Genomic DNA, 22771 nt, shown 5'->3' with positions numbered 1-22771 from the left:
TTTAAAAAACATACATTAACTTAGGTGATTAAAAATATATGATTAAAATATTAAAAGGCCACAGGATAATTGCAATGTTGACTTGTTGACTTTTTTTAAAGTTCACTTTCCATTACGAAATTTTTCTTTTCTTTTTTCATGGCATTTCATGAAAGTGGCAATTTTCTTAGAACCGATTACAAAAAAAGGGAATAATTGGACATTTCTATTCATGTTCTATTCTATTTAACTTGATTAAATTTGCTTTAATGTTCGTGATTATTGTTAACGATCAGAGTGAGTAATTTATAAAATTCTAGTTTGGTTTGTTTCTAGAGAAATATATTTTTGGTTACCTTTTCATGATGCCAGGGCTAACAGATGTATTAAATAACGGCTGAAAATAACTACGAACTTCAAGAACCCAACGCAGGGGCCAGGGATTTTGTTAACCATCAAGTAATGTCATCTTGACTTCAAGGCTTTTGATGCCTATCAAGTTGAAAAACATATTTTTAAAAGAACTTTTTTTTATAGAAAATAGGCATTTTTGACCAAGATGAAGCACAGCCTAAAAATAAAAATAAAATAAAATAAGAAAATAGGTATTTGTTCAGGTTATAAAGTGTGTATGTAAAGAAAATTGAATTTGCTCATTTGAGCTGTAAATTAACTTTCCAGCCTTATGCTTATTTATGTTCCGCTATACATGTAGATATTGTTAATCTGCCTACAGAAAAGAAAACCTTTTACCTTTAGCTGATAGAATCACCTATGACACAGGTAATCCACATGCAATGTGAAGTTCCATCTCTTAGCGGCTAAACAGTAATCCAGAACAAGATCTCAAAAACTTGGTGACTCTCATATTGCCTTCAGATATCATTTATCCTAAATTTATACTACAAATCATGTGTCCCTTCTTCACCTAACAGCAGCAAAAATGCATTAAGCATTTACTATTTGCCGAGCAGTAAGAGGTTCCCAGGCATTATGTCATTTGTTTCTCATTGTTTCTTCTGGCACTTAAAAAGGAATCCATTGAGAAATCCATTCCTTTTCAAAAGATACATGTTCAAGCCTTAGTCTTGATTCCCTGCTTTCTTCTGAATTTTGCCTTATCTTTTTTTTCCTTCTCATATGAAAGTATCTAGGTCAAAACTATGTGCTTTATTGATAAGAGCTTCTTGCCATCTTTTTACACATTTTTCAAAACAGACAAGTGCATAGGCAGGCTTGAGAGGCAGAGGGTATTGGGGAAAAAGTACTCAGGAACTTGAAGGTGGTACTAGCATGAAAGCATCCATTCTATGCTCTAATGCGATCACTTATCTGAGCTATGCGGAGCTGGAGCTAGTCAAAATGCCCCACAGTGTGATCCAGCCTTGGCTTACTGTAGCATTTCTTTCTCCTTGTAACATTTTAACACATTAGATATAGTGTAAGAAGAGGTCATCAGCCAGGCAACAACATCCTTTCCCCAAGGATCCAGTGCACAGGCCTGCTTCTCTCGAAGTGCCAATCTCATTCACGTGCTCATGACAGCGCCGTGCATTCACTGTTCCTGTCTGTGCTGTAGGCAGTTAACAGTCGCATTCTTGCTTCTTAGAGGTGTGAGGAAGAAAGATTTCACCTTACACATATTCCAATTTTCAGCCTTTTATTTATTGCGATGATTTTTAAAATATCGGTCCATGACTTGTGAGAAAACTTCTTTACAGTCTTGATTTTGAGTGAAGAAAAGGAAACATGAACTACAAAGCAAGGCGGTAAACCAAAATGAAATATCTTGAAATCGAAATAAACCTCCAAAATGTAAGCAAACAGAACATGATAGAGTTAAACACGTGATCCAGAGCAAAAGCGTTAATCACAAAACTCAGCTTCAATGAACCAAACTCAAATTATCCAGAACCACTGTGATGATATATTGGTTTTTGCCAAAAACTAAGTATTAGGTTTTTAAAAAATTAAAATTATGGAGATATAGAAGAAAATCCACTAAAGAACTCACAAGTAGGAGAAATAAGGCACCCAAACTGGTAAACCACAATTATTATTATATTTATTTCTTCATTTATTTCAGCCTGTTAATAATGGCAGTGGCTGCTGCCATCATGCTGGCTGCAGCACGGAAGCGCCCTGGGTCTGCACACTCCATGGAGTCAGTCTTCTGAGTCCGGACGGGAGCTCCCCCTGCCGCTGCAGCCACCCAAATCGCAACTGCAGACCCAGGTCTTTTGTTCCACGGAGCAGTCAGGAGCCCTACCCAGGAGGGCGGGGCTACAGCTCCCTAAACTGTAGCTATGGATCGAGCCTCCCTGTGCTCTTGTAGGGAGTGAGGAATGGGCAGGATCTGCCCTTCCATGTGCAGCCGCAGCTGCTGGACACCCGGCTGCAGACCTGGGCTTCCCACTCCAGGAAGCAACTAGGAGCCGGGACAAGTGTGGGCCCTGCCTCTTCCAAGTTGGCAGGGCGTGAGCTCCCGGGTGCAGCTGTGGCTGCCCTCCCAGGCACAGGACTGGGGCATCTCTGCAGCCTGCACCCTCGGGGGCCCCAGGAAGTATCCCCCAACCCTGTTCCTGCAGGCTCAGAGTTGTCTGCTCCCACAGCCTGGCCTCTCTCCTCCCAGCGTCTGCTCTGATCTTGGAGTGGGGTTGGGGTCCCCAGTAAGGCCCCACCCACAGGCCACGGAATGGCTGGGGGCTGGGCTGCCAGTCCCACTGACAGGAGTGGAGACTTCTGGTGCCTCTTGCTGGCCGCCCATGGACCAATGGGCATGCACTTCCTCCCCTCTGCGGTCAATAAAAGCCCTGGGCTCAGCCAGAACAGGGCAGAGCATGGCCAGAGGACAAAGAGGACAGAGAGATGACAGGACCATCCTTGACCAGCTGCAGAGAGGAGCACCCTCTTCACTGAGAGCTGCAGAGACGACCTGCCAGCAGAGAGGAGCTACCTTCTCTGCTGAGAACTTCAGAGACCTGCAGAGACATCCAAATGACTTGCCTGCAGTCAGCAGCCACCCTCTCCAGGGCCTTCTCTCTGCTAAGAGCTGAACACTCGACTGGACAATCTGCCTATAGAGCGGAGCTGCCCACTCCTCTGAGCTCGTCTAACACTAAATAAACCTCTTCTTCACCCTTCAATTGTCTGCGCACCTCATTCTTCCTGTATGCAGGACAAGAACTCGGGCAAAGGTGTTTTGGCCACAGAGGTTTCCAGCCAGAAAAATCGACACCCCAGAGGTCTCGTAACTTTAAGAGACCTGACTAGCCCGCATGATCAAATTTTATTTTCTTTCAACAAGCTATATTAGAGTGGAAAGTAGCAGTGGGAAGAAACTTAAAACATTTGCATCTGGTGGTTTCAACTAGCAGATATTTGACTGATCCTATTACCAACATTTCTCCTGCTTTTCTTCATTTAAAAATCTTAAGAATTACTATCATACCGGTTTCATGGCCCTTAAAGATAGTCCCCAAGTGGGGCATATCTAAGAAAAGTTAAAATTATTAAATATTTCAAAATGTACTAATGCTTCCAACTGGAATCAGTATTTGTCAGTAGATCTTAAGGTTTACCCTGCAAGATCTCCACGTGAGATACCATCTACACACCTCACCCAGCCTGCTGGGATTAGCACACAGTGGTTGAAGGTGAGACTTGCAAAAACTACATCCACCTTTCTCCCAAACTGCATGTGATTATTTATTCCTTATGATTAGAATAAGGAATGTGTTCCTCTGTTTGATTGGAAACTTTTGGTTTAAATGATCACACAATATAGAGTATTTACAAATTGAGAACAGCATAGCAACCAAGCTGCTATGTCTTATGTTCTAAAAATAAACCCACAATTTACAGATTGTGGCTGCATCTGCATTCTGAAACAGCAGGTATTTTTTGCTCACTTAACTTGGTGACACTGTGTTATTTTTAACATCAAAAGTTTAAGTTTTTTTTACTAGAAAGTGAAATTGTGGAAAGAGTTATATAAATAGTGACTCACTGTGTCCAAGAGGTGCATTTCTTTATGAGAAAAGTAAGTAGAATACTATCTTGAGAAAAGAAAGGAATATTCAAGGAGGTGGTTCTTATTCCTTACAACCTGGATTTAAAGCCATGCTGAACATTAATGAGAAACTTAATACTATCATTCACTGATGTAGATGTATAAATGCAAAAGGTAGTAAGTGTTAAAAAAAACTAACAGAGTTTTAAAAGATGTGAGGGAAATGAATTAGCTCATACATTCATTTAAATATCTTAAATCACAAAAAATCCACCTGGCTAGAAATAAATGAGGAAAGAAATTCCATGATTTTCCAAAATGACAGAGAAGAGAAAGTTGTTCAAGTTTTTTTTTTTTTTTTTTTTTTTTTTTTGAGACGGAGTCTCGCTCTGTCGCCCAGGTCGGACTGCGGACTGCAGTGGCGCAATCTCGGCTCACTGCAAGCTCCACTTCCTGGGTTCACGCCATTCTCCTGCCTCAGCCTCCCGAGTAGCTGGGACTACAGGCGCCCGCCACCGCGCCCGGCTAATTTTTTGTATTTTTAGTAGAGACGGGGTTTCACCTTGTTAGCCAGGATGGTCTCGATCTCCTGACCTCATGATCCACCCGCCTCGGCCTCCCAAAGTGCTGGGATTACAGGCGTGAGCCACCGCGCCCGGCCTCAAGTTTTTACTAGTATGAATTTCAGTTGGTATAGGACTTCAGAATAATGTATGATTAATTAAAATACTACAAACCATGCATTAAAGTTTAATCACCCCTTTCTATAGTTTTCATAGATGTACTTAATTTGCTGTGCAAACCTGAATACATTAATAAATGTCTTCTGGAAATAACTCAATATCTAGTAACCACTCAGTATGCTAGGATTGATTATGCTTCTACATGAATAGCTAGTAATAAAAGAACCTGCTATTAGCATACAAAGATATAATTCATTTTCATGTTACAGAATAATATGACTTCAATGGTGAACTATAATTCTATTTTGAGGATTTACCTTTTGTATGCCTTCCCATCATAAAGTTTTTGGACTTAACCCATTCCTACCAGATTGTGTTAGGTATAAAAATACAGATTTTTCATTTACTTAAAAACAATTCAATAAACTCCCAATGAGTTTAAACTGGAGGACCATTTATTCAAAAGAACTCCAAATACATGCTAAAGAGCAAAAAAGAACCCTCCAGGTAAAAGCAACCTATTGGATATTCCTTTGAAATACAAGTCTATATATCTCTCTGAATATGAATACAAAGACACACCAGAAAACCAAACAACCAACCAAAAACAAAAGAAAACACTGATTGCTCTTGCTTTAATGATCTCCTGCAAGCACACAAAAAGTTAACCTTCATGACGGCCCAAGAGGGACTACTCTCAAACATGAAGGCTGCCACCAGTTACTACATTTTGCGCTGCTCTATTGTAAATCAGATATAGAAGAGATGGCTAGTTTATCTTTAAAAGAAATTTCAGATATTAAATTTTACCAAAGTTAGTTCTGGTCATCCAAGCGATGACTTTGAAGAACCCAGCTTTAGGGTTTGCATGGCAAAGAAGTGGAAGAGTGACCTTGTTGATCTTTAAGTATTTTTGCTTCTTCTTTCAGACTCCTTCTTGAGGTTCCTTCCTGATCTTAAAAAAAAGGAGACTTAGAAGCCAAGGTCTTGGCCCTTTCTTCCATCTCTGGAGGTTTCTGTAAGAGGACACCATGCTTGAGAGGTGGCCATTCTGTCTCCAGGAGAAGACAGGTGAACTGGAGATGTACTCTGCTCAGATGCTCAACCGACCTAAGCTAAAGTGAGCAAAACAAACCCCTCTTATGTAAGCCACTAAGTTTCTTATTCTATTATCAAGTATTTCTTACTCCTGAAGTTATCAACTTTCCAGCCAGATCTTAGCATATACATTCCTTAGCCACTTTGCAACCTAGCTCAGTCTCAATGCAAAAAGAATTTGAAGTAACGTCTGAAAATCTCCTGTGTCAGCACTTATCAAGCACCATCCGTATTTGTGTGGTTAAACATCTATGAGATTCTGAATAATGATGACAATTCCAGAAAGCACACACGAACTACAATGAACAGATGAACGTGGTATATGGATATCTAAAAGAACAGTAAAAATCTAATAATGAATAGAACAAAGACAAAAATGCACATGAAAATACTAAAAAGAGTCCCATGACATCAAAGTCAATCACAAATTCTGCTATTAATAAACTGATTATCTATTAATGCAAAGAAGTTCACAAAAGAAAATAAATTTGGCAACTTTAATATTAATCTACCAAAGTGGTCTGATAGGAGCCACACTAAGAAATCATTTTCTACAATTAAAACATTGATTTTCTATAATGTTTAATGATTTTACATTTTTGAAACTTTATTAAATTACAGAGCCTGTTTTTTTCTGGGAAAGAAGCCCATATGAAGAAAAAAGTTTGGAAACCATTTTTAAAAAATGCAAAAGTCACTAAAATATCCTGAAATTTTTAATAGTTAAAGGAAAATCATTTTTACTGTGCTTGAAAAAGTCTGCAAAAGAGATTTTTGTGTCATCTCTATAAAATTCCCCTCGGGGATAAAAACAAGCTTGAGAAGTTTCAGTCAACAGTGTAAACTGGGAGTTCGTGTTAAATAAGCCATTGAAAACTACAGTTTAGAATGAAATTACCATTTCAGCCATTACCACAGGGCTCCATAGTACATTTACAATAACAGCTACATTTGGTAATAACATCATATTCAAGTAGTTGATACTTCTTTACATTTTTAAATTTAACTAACATGTTCCAGGAGATTCTAAAAATAAAAAATAAAGTGTGTTTCCTACTCTTTCCTTTTTCTAAGCCCAGATAATAATATGGCAACATTATTCAAGATAATCAATACTCTTAAAATTATAAAGCACAAAATTACTAATAAAAAGACTGAACAGTTAAAATGACATTCTGCTAAGCCCATTAATGTTTAAAAATATTTTTAAAAGATAGTATAATTTTCTATTGCTCCAGAACTGTATCTTAGCTCTACTTAACTTGGTGTCTTGCCTTAGTGAAGACAGAGAGACTGGGAAACAAGAGACAGTCCCATTTCTCAGAGGAGGGCACTTTCATGTGTCAGCAAAGAAATCATTCTTCTAGTCATTCAACAGAAATTTACTAAATCACTATTATATGCCATTCCGAGGCAGAAATATTCAGAAAATTTATGGTCTTATGGGTAATAAATGTAACACATACAAGTATGCATGCATACTAAAACATGCACATACATGCACATTTCAAATCAGGAATCAAAACACTGTGAGATAACAGGGAAGGTGCACAAGGTCTGAGAGCAGAGCAGAGACCACGCCCAGTTGTGTGGGTGTCAAAAAATCAGAAGGCAGCATCTAACATAAGAACAAAAGGATGCATGGGTGCTGGCCAATACAAAGGAAATGAAATAGGAGAAAATTTTCATACACTTGTGAAATGAGAGACCCAGGGTTTTAGAGATTGAAAGAACTTCTTTCTGGATTGAGAGTGGAAATCAAGGTAGGAGTGACAAGAAAGGAAACAAAAAGAAAGACAAATGAGGAAAAATCTTAAAGAAGAATGTGGGCCGGGAACGGTGGCTCACGCCTGTAATCCTAGCACTTTGGGAGGCCGAGACGGGCGGATCACGAGGTCAGGAGATCGAGACCATCTTGGCTAACATGGTGAAACCCCGTTTCTACTAAAAATACAAAAAATTAGCCGGGCGTGTTGGCGGGCGCCTGTAGTCCCAGCTACTTGGGAGGCTGAGGCAGGAGAATGGCATGAACCTGGGAGGCGGAGTTTGCAGTGAGCCGAGATCGCGCCACTGCACTCCAACCGGGGAGACAGCGAGACTCCGTCTCAAAAAAAAAAAAAAAAAAAAAAAAAAGAAGAATGTGAATTCTCCAGAATTTACAAATTAGCAATATATGGTTTCAGAGATGAAACTACAATAACAATTTATTTTAGTATAAGTATGTTTCAAATATTGCATAGAATGTAATTATACAACACATTGGCTTATTATTTATCTGACATTCAAATTTACCTGCGGGTCTTGAATTTGTATTTGTTAAATCTGGAAACCATGGTCAAGAGGTAGTCAAGGGAAGATTTATTTAACTAATGAACTAAGTGGCACAAAAGTGATAATGAATATATATTGTCCCTGTATTCCAGTGCCAGTTGGAATAACAGAAAGTTCATAATGGTTGAGAAACTTTAATGATGATAATTTTGTCTAACATCATATTTAAGGTTCATAAATTCCTTTGAACAGTAATAATTAAAAATGAAGGTTTCATTCAACAAGAGGTCAAGCAAAACTAATTTTTAAAGAAAATATAGAGATTATTTATAGACAATGTGAAAAGACTCATTAATTTTGTCTATGTGGACACATGCATATGCAATATATAAGAAATGTATTTATACTATGCCTTTTATTATGAAGATAAAATATTACACATTTCAACATACAAAAACACATTTCATTGCTTAGTGAGGTCGCTGAGTATTAAAACATTCATACACACTTTTTAAAAGCTAATAAATATATTTATCTTTTAAAATGCACAATAAACAATTGTTGATTGTCAACATCTTCGTAAAACAAATACTGCAACATACAATTACATTTTACTACTAGCTAACTTTAGAAGAAAACGAGGCAGACTAAAAGAGAATACACAAGTTGCATTTTTTGAAAGAGAATGGTTTATTTAATCGTTCAACAAATATTTATCAAACACTTCCTGTGTCAAAGGTACTGGAGATAAATGTATGAATTAGACTAGCATCATTTCTATCTACATGAGACTTCCTGCTTATTGGAGGAGTCAGAGAAAATTCACACACACAAATACACATTAATACAATTACAAATAGTAACAAGTGTTCTGAAAGAAACACAGAGAACATATAAAAGGTGGGGCAGGAGGCATGTACTTTAAAAAAAAAGAGTGGTCAGAAAAGGTCTCTGTGAGGTCGGGAGAATGATACATGGTAGCCGAAAGATGTAAGGGAGCCAGTCACAGCAGTAGAAGGGCAGCATCCGCCCATGCAGAGAGAGCAGCATGCACAAAAATCCTGAGGCCAGAGAGAACTCAGTATGTCCAAGAAACTGAAAGAAGGGCTCTGAGCCTTGAGCATTGTGATTGAAGGGCCACCAGCATTAGGTGATTACAGCAAGGTACAAATCAGGACATGGTTAGGAGTGTTAATTTCATCCTCAAATGCAATGAAAATCATTTGCAGATTCTTAAGAGAATGACATGATCAAATTATGCATTGTTTTCAATGATCACTCTGGTTGCCGAATAGAGAATGTATAGGTAGTGAGTAAGAATGGGATTGGTGGATAATTTGGTGACTGTACTGATCATGATGAGAGAGGACTTGTGTTTGGAACCAGGACTTTAGCAGCAGAGTTGGAAAGTGGCAGATCTGAGCAAAGAAGAGCTAAGGAGAACTCTTGGGTGTGTGACTAGGGCTCTGTGAAAAACTGTGGGCTGAAGATACAAATTTGAGTGCTGTCAGCATATCGATGATAATAAAAGCCATAGGGATGGGTAGAATCACCTGGGGAGAAAATGCAGAAGAAAGAAAGGAGGAGTACCAACCAAGTCGGAGGCCTGAACAGCGTGAACATTTAAAGGCTAGGCCAGGAAACAGTAAAGCAAAGAGAAGGCAGAGCTAATGGGGGAGGAAATAAATCCCATGAGATGGTGACACCAAAGTCAAGATATCCATGTTACAAGAAAGACTTAGAGTTTTGTTTTCAGAATGAAAGAAAAATCACTGGTTAGTTTTTTTATTGCTTGTGCTGGCCTTCCCTCTTTAGTTATGTGAAAATAGGGCTTACCTTTCCTACTTTCAATCGGATGACAAGAAACATATAAGCCAGTGTGTTGACATGCCCCAATCCTTTATCTCAGATCTCTGACAAGCTTTAATTAGTTTGCTAGTTGAGAGCTTCCTGCGTAAATTCAATTCTGTCACTTCGTAGGCATTTTCCTGCTTGGTGTAATGGATTTTTTGGTCTCCAGTTCAGATAATATTTCTACATTGTCCAAAATAGTTAAAAGCAATTTTGTTAGCTAACCGCCCCCAATCTTTCCCTTGAAATTTTTGAATTAGCATGCATAAGATTTCACTAATTGTCCCATTTCAAGCACATAAAGATATCATTATTTTTCTCTGACATTACTTGCATTTTAAATGTAGTTTTAAATTCCATTTTTTTCCCATTGACAGTATTTGCTAAGTATTCACTGAAATGGAAAATACTTTTAAGGTTTGATTTTATCGCAAAACAGAATAAAAGGAAGAGTGCATATTCATATGCATTAACCATTTAATAGGAAAAAATGGGTTTTAGTTTAATATATTCATTTGAATGTCAAGGGATTTGTTTAGGAATTGTGTGCATGTCAGCAAACAGCAGATTTGGACAAAGATTAGGCGATACAAACAAGAAAAGGTACTAAATCCTTACTCTAAACATCTGTTCCATCTTCTGCTTGTTTCCTTTCCTTTGTCTGTTTAATGTTGGTAGCTCTTCCCTTCTCACCTATTTATTTCCTTACTCTCTTCCCTTTTACCCTTCACATTCTCCATGGTTAATGTACTCCCAACTTACCATTTCAGTATTTTCAGTCCACATTTTCCTTAGGAGCTTCAGATCTACTCAGTCTAACTCACCTTAGACCTTTAATTATGTGATCTATCTTTTTTTTAATCTGTAAGAAAATAAAACTATACTGACCTTACCAAGTTGACACAAGAAGTAATGGAAATGCCTAGGTCAGCACCAGGCATTTAGTACCTACTCAAGAAACATTAGCACCTTTCCCCTTTTTCTCTTCAAGGATTATCTGTGGTCAGTTGCATACTCATTGAGAGGAGCTCCTCCTAAGACCACAGCAGTAATGAGTGTGCAAAGCAAAGATTCTAATCAAAGTAGTTTTGAAAATCTAGTCCAGCATCTTAGATCACCCCTATGGGTGAGCCCCAACCTATAACTTGTAAGAGGAATAAGAGAAACCAGGATTGGTGAACTGGGCCTTAGTATCTTGTGGGGGAAACCCCAAGAATGTCTTTTTAAATTAAAAATAAGATTTAATCAATTGAGTAGTACATTAAACACAGTCATTTCATAGACTCCTCTTTTATCTTCTACTAAATGGCATTTCTCTTATTAGCATTCATAAAATAATCACTGTGTTTATACTAGAAATTATTTAAAGTAAATATTTTGATGGAAGAATAGGTAGTTTTATCAATGTTAATATAGTTAGCTTGTATTCTAAAACTATCACAAGTTTTGCTACTTAACTTTCATCTCCCTAGGCTAATAAGAAGGGAAAAAGGGCAGATGTCACATGTTAACTGTGAAAATATTTATGCTAAACAGAGTGCAATGATACCATGGTGCACTAAATAGCTGTGATTTGCAGTAGGTGGTTCTGAAGGTGAGGAAAGAAGTGACTTATCACATGGCACAGGGTGGTGTGTGTTCACCAAACACAAAAGACAGGGAGCTAGAGCAGTCACCACCAACATTTACATCATACACAGTGATTTAATTTCAGCAAAACAGTATCATCCATCAAGTTGATGTTGATTTTAATTGCTTTGTTTTTGTATTTTTTGTACTTATTTTATAAATTTCTTTATGGATAAACATACATGCATTACATAATTCCATGTTTATACTAGTTTAAGCCCACTTTGGAATTTGGGGCTTTTTTCCCTTTTTTCCTTATTTTAAAAGGGTTCTGTACATTACTCAAGTTTCAAAACATGGCCAACACAGCTGGCCATATAACAGAAAGAGTATCACTCCCATCTGGTGGCAGACATTAAAATATTGAGCATAATCCCAAAACAGAAATTAATCTAATTCCAGACTACACACTGGTTAATTAAACTCCTATTTCAGAAGTGGAAACACACTAACTACTGAACAAACTACCAGAGGACCTCAATTCAAAGAAGTGTTTCCAATATATTAACTACTTTGGGTATACATACCTACTGTAAAAACATAGCAACTTAAGAAATGTTTATATTAAAATACAAAACCATATTTATAAAACAATAAAAATATTTTATAGTCTTTCAATTAAATATTAATATATGTAATACAGGTAAATTTATAAATCACAACTTAGTTACTTATATTCAAATTCTGTTCACATATGTATGTGTATACTATATATGTGTATGTATTTAGTATACATACACATATGTATAGTATACATACACATACATATGTATATACACATACATATGTATATACATATGGATACACATACATATGTGTATATACATACATATGTATATACACATATATAGTATACATACATATATACAAATATATACTATATATACATAGTATTTGTATTTGTAAACATGCTATTTGCATACATACATACTACTTGTGTGTGTATATTGCACATGCTATTTGTATGTAATATGTATGTATATATACATATGTATTTATTTGACAAGGAAAGATGCAGAGATTTAGCAGTTTTCAATAAACTTATGATACTTAAGGTACTTCATTCACCCCCAAGTTTTATTATTATTCTTTTTAGAGATGGGATCTCATGCTGTTGCTCAGGCTGGAGTGCACTGGCACCATCATAGCTTACTATAACCTGGAACTCCTGGGCTGAAGCAATTCTCTTGTCTCAGCCTCCAGAGCAGCTGGCATGTGCCACCACACCTGGATAACTTTTATTTAAAAACTTTTAGTAGAGACTGGTCTCTCTGTTTTTCCCAGGTTGGTCTCGAACTCCTGGCCTCAAGTGATGCTCTTGCCTTGGCCTCCCAAAATGTTGGGATTACAGGCATGAGCCACTGCTCCTGGCCCCAAAACTTTCTTTAAAGACACATAATCTGAAATACTTTTCAAGGCAAGAAAAATATCATTCAAAAATGAAAATGGAACCTAGTATGAAAACAAAGGTAAATAAATAAAAATGGGAAAATATACTTGGAAATGGGTTAATCACACTATACATGAATTAGATCAAACATCAAACAGTCTTAATGGAGTTCACATCATTCACTTTTAGCACATCCTTTACCTTTCATGCAATTTCAATTCTTTGACAAAAATGCATGCACAACTTATGGTAACACTGTAGTGCCACCATAGAAACCACCCAAATGTATTCATTTATCAATATCATGAATAAACCATGAATTAAGGTGACTCTCAATAATGATATTCTCTGGATAGATGGAAAAATGACTATAATGATGCCTCACTTTATATTTTGATTATTTCAGTAAATTCTTGCATAAAATGCTATATTTTGTAAATTCTATAAGAAAGTGTATGGTGTAGCAAAAAAAAAAAAAAAAAGAGGCACTGGATCAACTCTCAGAAGTTACTTTGCTTCTAAGTGTTCATTTATTTCTGGAATCACTTTCAGCTCTAAATCTTCTAATTTTAAATCTGAACCTCCTGTTTCCCTGATTTTAATTGCACCAAAGTAATGAACTATTGTTGTGACTCACAGAAAATTTACTCCTGTTATAATAAATTAAATATAAAGAGGGAGAAAATTGATTACTTTTTAAAAATATAAAATTGAAATTTTAACTTTTAAAATGTTTTTAAAATATATAAAGTGCTAATTAGCTTGAGATAATTATTAAATTTTGGAGTAAAATTTAAAATGGTTCAACTATAAAATTCACCAGAGCCTAATTTCACAGGGCCCCACGAACATTGCTCAAAATAATACTGGAAATGATTAAAGAGAGCTCCTCTTCTTAGGAGGTTCCTTCCCTATTTGGCTACTTTAGAACAGCTCATTAAACATCAATGATATTCTTTTATCAGATGTTTAGTGTTATTTATTAAGTTTCAGGTTCATCTTCTATTAAAAAAAAAGAACAAAATTTCAGCAAATTCTATTCTGATGGCCAACTCATTTTGATGGCCAGTGCTTCATTAGCTTCCTGAAAAGGTAAAGGTTGAACTCTCAATAACTTCACAGGTTTCCGTTTTAATTATCTTTTGTTAATGCAATAAGCAAATCCATGTTTTTATAAATCTCCATTAAAATATTTTTTCTAAAAAGTATCCAAATGAATCCCTGTATTAGATATGACACCTATGTTTTATTAAGCGAAAGCCATTACCATTAAATGGTAAAGAAAATGGTACTGAAAGCAAGCCTGTATTACTGTAAGCATACCATTAGGCATTTCTAGTCCCTTTAAACCATCTCACTTGTCCTTTCAATACTGTTATGATGTAGAAATTATTATTATCTATATTTTACATTTAAGGAGCGGTTAAGTAAACTACTGAAGCTATCACCATGAATACAGGATTTACAATTGAGCCTCTCTGACTCTAAAGCCTATGCATCCACAATCTCTGCTCCAATGATATAATAAATTACAAAACTGCAAATGAAATTAAAACATCAATATGCACTTCATACAGAAAAAAATAATTGACCTTATAATTTTTCAATTATAAAGAAATATCTTTGTTTTGAATTCTTTCCCTTTGAATAGATACAAAATTATTTTTTGTATATTTATCTTATATCTAGCAACCTAACCTCATTTTCATATTACTTGTAATGATATAAAAATTATATCCCAAAGAGGGCTTTATTAGTCCTTTTCCAAAATTTACGTGGTACATTATTTTAAAAGATTGATCCTAGTCTTAGAATTTTTATTAGAAATAACTGCAAAATTCTATTAAATATCTTTTTAGTATCTAATGATATAATCTATTGATATACTAAAGTATTTTTATTTGTTTTCTAAATATAGGCCACCATTATATTCTTTAAAAATCCTATTTTTTTTCACACTTATGCTGATCTTTTCATATACTGCTGGGTGCTATTTACTAATAGCTTAGGTAGGTTTCTTTTTTGCATTTAAATTTTCAAATGACATAGAATCATCACTGTCTTTTTCTTTAAAAAGTTTTAGAATGTGACTTAAACTTTTAATGTTAAAATTATGATTCTCTAAAAAATGATTAATGTTCTCTATATTTTTCTATGGTTGGAATCATTTAAAGAACACTGGAATATCAGCGCTACAAGCGTCTGGTAATATTCAACTAAACATCCATCTGTTCTGGTGCTTTTTTGATAACTGATCTTTAAACAGCTCTAGTATTTAAATGGAATACTACAGTTTTCTACTTTCTCTTGAAAATATTTTAGTAATTTATTTTTTTCTAGGAACTGATTCCCTTCCTTTAGATGTTCATGCTTCATCACTGCAGAGCCACACCTAATATTCTACTATACTTCTTTTAACCTTTCTTGTTTCGGGATTTACTTCTGCTTTCTCATTTACAATTTTATATATTCTTTCTTTATATATTTTCCATAATTTGTGCCTCAAGGGGTTTATGTTGGCCATTTCAAAGAATCACCAAATTTTGAGTTTATTTAGCCATTTTTACATTTGCATTCTATTCTAGTGATTCCAGTTTTCCTTGTTATTAAATTCTGTTTTCCTAGTTTCTTTTGATTTTTTTTAATTCCTTAAGATTCATAGTTTATTTTTTATATCTTTTCTTTCTTCAAAGCTATCTAAAGCTAAAATTCTATACTGATGATAGCTTTTACTGGATGTGCCTATTTTGTTAGGAAGGGATCTTCTTTTTCATTAACTCATATATAGTTGTAATTTCCCTTTGGTTCTAAGAGTTATCTAAGAGTGTTTCTTAATTTCCTAATAATTTTTTTTTAGTTTTGTAATAAAGTTGCCTAATAAATTGTGTTAGTTTTCTAATAAGGCTTCTTAATACAGAATGTGACCTATTGAAACTCCTTCCTTTTTTGAATTTATAAAAAGTTCAGACACTTTCAAGGACTAAACTTCCTAAGATGAATATCTCTTCTCATTAGCAGTTTCATCATTTTAATAATGTACAATTTCTCCAAAAGGAATCTTGCCATTTCAACATTATACAATAAATGTATAGGCCTCATATATATCATTATTGATATAAGGTAAGGTTTTGTGGGATATTTTAAATATTAATCAACAGTAAATTCCTAATGTCATTTTTCTCATGACAGTGAAAGAATTCTACTCAGAACCCCATAACTTCTGTTTTTCATTTCATCCCTTATCCATCCTTATTAGAAACTGTGGGATAGCTATGAGCAAACTGTATCATTGCATATTGCTATGAATTTTGTTCAATTCATAAAGTTGTGTGTATGTGTTTGATACAACTGGGGCCTTGGTTTGGTTCCCTCTCACAGTTCCAGTTTGCTTTAAATGTTGAGTAAGAAGTTTATAGCTAATATTCCCTTATCTCTTCTTCCTTATTCATAAGTCTTTTAAGGGTCAACAGTCACATCAGTCCTATCATGAAGGTTTAATTCCAAGGGAAGAATTAGTTAGTATTGATAACACAGTCATGTATTGTAGGGAAGTAATATCATAAGGAAAATCCCATCTTAAAATTCACATATTTAATTTTTTTAAATCAGTATGGAATACTAGGAGGAAATATAAGGCATATAGATAGGGGACTGGAAGGATGTTAAGACTACTTACAGTGCCAAATCTCTGTATGAAATTCAAGAAAAGTTTTAAGCATTCTACTGTATTATGTGAACAAATATGAATTAGCCACTTCACTGTCCTTAATTTGAGAAAATATTTTAATGCATTGCTTTTGTCTGCAACAGAAGGACTTTAGATAACTGGACTAAAAGGTATATGAAAAAGACATTTTTTTTTTTTTTTTGAGATGGAGTCTCGCTCTGTCGCCCAGGTTAGAGTGCAGTGGCATGATCTTGGCTCACTGTAACCTCTGCCTCCTGTGTTCAAGTGATTCTCCTGCCTCAGCCTCCTGAGTAGCTGGGTTTACAGGCATGTACCACCATGCCTGTCTAAGTTTTGTATTTTTAGTAGAGATGGGGTTTTGCCATGTTCGCCAGGCTAATCTCGAACTCCTGACTTCAAGTGATCTTCTTGCCTTGGCCTCCCAAAGTGCTGGGATTACAGGCATGAGCCACCACGCCCAGCCAAAAAGAATTTTTAATTATAATCTTAGATGTGCTATGATTTAGATAAGCTAAATTCAAGGGTAAAATATAAGTACATAAATTTTAACACATAAGGCTCTATAAGTGTAATATTGTGCTAGCCCATGCCTAATTCACTTACATCCTTCTCATAAATTACACAGTATTGGTTTATGACTAGCATGAGCCTGAATATATAGCCATCAAACAGGAAAAACAGAAGCTACATTTACTCAATGTTTGTTTTATACCAGGTACTGTATTCTAATATTTTCTTTCATTTAATCTGTATGATAAGGATTAAATATACTTATAGGTACTCTTAAGTGTAAACTCCAAGGCTAGGAAAAGGTCACTCACTTTTTAACTGATCTGGCAGAAGTACCTTTTAGACCAGATTGTTCTGACTCCAACATATCTCCTAAGCCAGTCTTTCTCAAGCTATCTGTGATGAAAGGCTACATTTTTATTATTCCAATATCTCACAGACCAATATTTTATAAAACACAACATCATGAATAATTTTAAAAATTAAACATATACAATTATAAGTCCATATTTTATATTTAGGTTCAGCAGACAAAAAATTACTGTCAAATTCCTATAAAAATTTCAAGTGTTTATCCTCAATTTTGTTCTTACTGCAGACCATAAAAAATTCATGAATCAACCCTAGGCCACAGGGTACAATCTGAGTAGGTGGCCAACATACTTCCTATCAGTATTAGGTAAGCATATCAGTATTAGGTGCTTCTTGCAGAAATTTTTATAGAACTAACAAGAGTCATGACTGAATGAAAAATATGCATGAATCTCATAAAATGTTCTCCAATTACATACAAAGATGTCCACATTCTAATCCCTGGAATTTGCGAATGTGCTACCTTAAATGGCAGAAGGGAATTTGCAGATGTGCTTAGGTTAAGGATGTCAAGATGGAGAGATTATCCTGGAATATATGAGTGAGCCCATTGTAATCACAAGGATCTTCTTCATAAGAGAGAAGGAGTAGAGTTAAGATTCATCGAAGGAAATATAACAGTTTAAGCTGAAATCGGAGGGATCTGGAGCATTGTGCTACTGGCTCTAAAATGGAAGAAGGTGACACAAACAAGGGATGCAGGTGGACTGCAGACACTGAAACAGGCAAGGAACTAGATGCCTCCCTAGAGCCACACTGGTCTTAGAACTTTTCACCCCCAGGACTATACAATAAATGTGTTTTATATTAAGCTAATACATTTGTGAAAACTTGTTATAGCAGCAATTGGAAACTAACACAGATTTTGGTACTTGGAAGTGGGGCGCTGCTAGTAACAAATACCTAAAAATGTAGACAGTGGCTTTGGAATTGGTAATGAGAAAAGGCTGGAAGAATTTTGAGAAGCATAATACAAAAATTATAGATCTCCTTGAACAGACTGTTATTAAAAATAAAGATTTGGTTAAAGGCTCTGCTGGTGCAGACTCAGAAGGAAGTGAGGAGCATGGTAGAGAAAACCATTAACTTCTTGGGGAGTATCTAAGTTGCCATAAATAGACGTTGGTAGAAATGTGGACATTAAAGGAGATGCTGGTGAGGCCTCAGAAGGAAATGAGAAACATGTTATTGGAAACCGGAGAAAAGAGAATCTTTGTTTCATAGTGGCAGAAAGCTCAGCTGGACGGATTCCTACAATTACGTGGAAGTCAGAATTACAAGTGATGAACTTACATATTTAGCTGAGGAGATTTCTAAGCAAAGTGTTGAAAGAGTGGCCTGGTTTCTTCTTGCTGTTTATAGTGAAATGTGAGAGGAAAAAGATGAATAAAGGGAATAACTATTAAGCCAAAAGAAACCAGGACTTGATGATTGGGAAAATTCTCAACGTATGAAGACTTCAAAAGGCTAAAATTAGGAGACGTGCTTTCAAGAAAGCATACTTGAAGAGAAAGCCAATTTTATGTCTGGATAACATTTTCCTAGTGCCATATAAGGATTAAAAGGTCCAAGTGAAAGGAGGGCTCTTTGAAGTGATTAGGCATGTAATTCATGGATCCCCTCAGCCACTTCAACAGAGGCCAAAAATGGAGATGAAATTATCCAAGAAAGATCTGTAGAGGAGCCTGTTTTTCTAATGGAGTGAATCCTGGAGATGTGCATAGTAAAATCACAATGTTCTTGAGAATCCTACAACGGTGGTAACACCATCAGCTTGGACTGATACAGGCAGAAAAGGGATGAAATGCACGAAGGCTGAATGGACACTCAAAATTCTACAGGTAGGAGATGGATGACAAGAATACCTGGTTGAAAATATGTGCAACCCTTCATGAAAATGAAGAAATAATTCTGAACTAGGCCCAGAGAGCAGACTCAAGCCACAGAGGATTATTCACAGGCCTTGAAATCTAATGGAATTTTCCCATGTAGATTTCTACATTTCTTGAGACTGGCAACTCCTTTTTCCTTCCACTTTATCCCTTTTTATGTAGGAATGTCTGTAACTGTTATCCTATGCCTGTCCCTCCATTGCATTTTGGGAACATATAATTTGTTTTGTAGTTTCACAGCTACACAGATGGAGAGGAACTCTGCTCAAGGACAGATTATAAAGAGATCCTCAGCCATATCTAATTTAAATAATTTGGACAATGAGATTTGGGACTTTTAAGCTGATGAAATTTAGATGATATTTTGAACTTGAGTTGATGCTATGATTGGTTGAGACTTTTGGAGACCTGAGAATGTGGTGTAATGTGTTTTGCATAAAGGAAGGATCTGAATCTTTGGGGAGCCAGAGGGCAAACTATGGCAGACTGAATAATGGTCCTCAAAGCAACTCCATCCAAATCCCTGGAAACTGTAAATATGTTACCTTAAATGGCAATAGAAGCCTTTTTGGATGTGATTGGGTTAAGGATCTTGAGATGGGAGGATTTTTCTGGAGTATTTGGGTGGACCGAACATAATCACAAGGGTCCTTATTGGAAGGAAGTAGGAAAGACAATTTCAGAGATGGGATGCAAGGACAAAAGCAAAGGTCAGAGTGCAAGAGAAATTTGAAGATGCTACATTGCTGGATTTGAATATAGAGAAAGGGGTCAAAGAAGTGATGTGGTTTCTAGAAGATGGGAAAAGCAAGAAAATGGATTTTCTTCTAGAGCTTCCAGAAGGAATGCAAGCCAACCAATACCTTGACTAGGATATTTGACCTCTAGAATAATAAATTTGTGCTGCTTCAAGCCACTAAGTAGATAGGAATTTGTTATAGCAGCCACAGGACAATACAAATGCCTCTATTATAATTTGGTAAAAAAAAAAAAAAAATCACATCCCAGGAATCTCAGAGTTAAAATAGCAAAGAGCATGCTTAACAAGACACTAAAAAATAACTTATAACACTTAAAAATCCTGATGATATTTTTCTGTTGACCGTTATCTTGTGGAAATGTGACAACTGTGACAACACAAAAATGGAACATCTCATCACTCCAACAGGATGAATTCTGCTTTGTAAACTGAAAGAAAAGTAATTCAATAAATATACATTGCTGTTGTATAGTCAACACAGTTTTTCCTAATGGTGCATTAGCATCTGAAAGTGCAGGAGGAATAGTTTATTTAGACTTTGAACCCATTACCGTAAATGAGGGCCCCCTTCACCAAGGACCCCTCTTCAATTATCTCATCAACTTAATTTCAAAAATCATACAAATAGTTTTTAAAAGCCACTTCAAATGTTATAGGGCAATGAGATTGCCCATAGTTCAGGCAGTAATATATATTCAGTAATCGGAATCATGGCATGATTTATTCTCTTTTAAGGATGTCTAAGTTTTTCCAAGAGTCAGGATATAATCACAATAGAAACACATATATAACAAAGTGGTTTCAAAGCATCCCTTACCTGTGTAACAAGTGGCTCCAACAGCCTTTCCACTGTTAGCGTCCGGATTTCCAAACTTTTGGGGTCCCATTTCAGAATGATAGGTGAAGTTGCCGAAGTCATGCTCCCTATGGGAACACATGTAATCAGTTAGAAATAATCATCTTTGAAATAAATTGTAACTTTGGTGATTCAAAATGGGTAAATCACTGAAACTTAGAACATACTGGAAGATAGCCTCTCTGGTCCAACCTGGTCAAATTAGAGATGGAAAAACCAGACCAGTACACTGTGAGGTGGCAATGTTGGAATCAGATTAAAAACTGAGGCCTCCTCAGCATACTGGTGTACCTTAGGCCTGCTTTTGGGACCCAATAGCCACTGAAATATTTCATTTACTCAACAATGAGTATGCATACCTATCTGCTATATGCTGCGAAAGGTTTCAGTCTTGCTTTCAAGTAGCTTAATGTTTAAAGTTAGAGATAGCCAAATATGGGAACAATTAGGTCTCAGTGTGACACATGTTGTGATTAAGAAACACAGAGAGTTCTAGATCCCTGAGGAATCGCCACACTGACTTCCACAATGGTTGAACTAGTTTACAGTCCCACCAACAGTGTAAAAGTGTTCCTATTTCTCCACATCCTCTCCAGCACCTGTTGTTTCCTGACTTTTTAACATGGAATACTATGCAGCCATAAAAAATGATGAGTTCATGTCCTGTGTAGGGACATGGATGAAATTGGAAATCATCATTCTCAGTAAACTATTGCAAGAACAAAAAACCACACACCGCATATTCTCACTCATAGGTGGGAATTGAACAATGAGATCATATGGACACAGGAAGGGGAACATCACACTCTGGGGACTGTTGTGGGGTGGGGGGAGGGGGGAGGGATAGCATTGGGAGATACACCTAATGCTAGATGACGAGTTAGTGGGTGCAGCACACCAGCGTGGCACATGTATATGTATGTAACTAACCTGCACAATGTGCACATGTACCCTAAAACTTGAAGTATAATAAAAATAAATACATTTAAAAAAAAAAAAAGAAACACAGAGAGGACTATGGGAGAGGTGAGGAAGGGGCATCAATGTCAGTCTGGAGAGAACAACAAAGAATAGCAGGAAGCAAAGTAAATCCACCAATGATTACTAGATGTAGGAACCCCTTTATAACAAAAGGCTACTTTTTTCTTCACATCATAACTGACCCCTGAGAATATCATACTCCTTGGGACAAGAGTTTCAGTCTCTTAAATATGAAAGACATCTTCAAACTAAGTGCCAATGTTCTGAAAAATTATCTGCTACTATTTACATGCTCTCTGATTACTCACTACATTTACATTCTTGTCCCATAAAATCAGTGACTGATAAGGTTATTTATTTCACTCTAAAGCAATCCTCTCTTACCTAAGAACCACTGACATGCAGGTAGCAGTCTCCACACAACAAGCAAAAAATTACAGTTCTAGCCCCTCCCCCCCCCCCCCCGAAAAAGTATACATTCTATCAGGGGTTTGTTTCTTTCATCAAGAAATTGCTAAATACATTCTGACATCTAACCACTGGACAAGCAACCTTAGATTGTACAAACCGAATCTGAATGATTTGCCTTAATACCAACATAAATCAAAATGTCCATGGCTGTTCTTTTATTTTGAATCAATGTCCCCATTCAATTCCAACCTTATAAATCAATGTAGATGATTATTTCTACTAGAATTAACACGACAAAGAAGGCCTATCACAATAGGCACTAGTAGAAATGTGCCTCTTTACTGGCTCTCTTACAGCTAAAGCTTTTGCAAATAGACCCAACCAATTT

The 22771-nt window shown here is 36.1% G+C and overlaps 1 protein-coding gene across 11 annotated transcripts in view; it reads right to left on the bottom strand.

Annotated features, from left to right (window-relative positions):
* The window catches only part of CTNNA2 (catenin alpha 2), a 1463404-nt gene that overhangs the window by 976170 nt on the left and 464463 nt on the right, over nucleotides 1-22771 (bottom strand). For all 11 annotated transcript variants that reach the window (NM_001399737.1, XM_024452714.2, XM_011532556.3 and 8 more), the window contains one exon: nucleotides 20953-21059. In NM_001399737.1, coding sequence (NP_001386666.1) covers nucleotides 20953-21054 — 102 coding nt within the window. In that variant the 5' untranslated portion in view covers nucleotides 21055-21059. The remainder of the gene's footprint in view (nucleotides 1-20952; nucleotides 21060-22771) is intronic.

This window comes from Homo sapiens, chromosome 2 (assembly GCF_000001405.40).
Source record: "Homo sapiens chromosome 2, GRCh38.p14 Primary Assembly".
Classification (NCBI taxonomy): Eukaryota; Metazoa; Chordata; class Mammalia; order Primates; family Hominidae; genus Homo; species Homo sapiens.
This window is presented reverse-complemented; position numbering and strand designations above follow the sequence as displayed.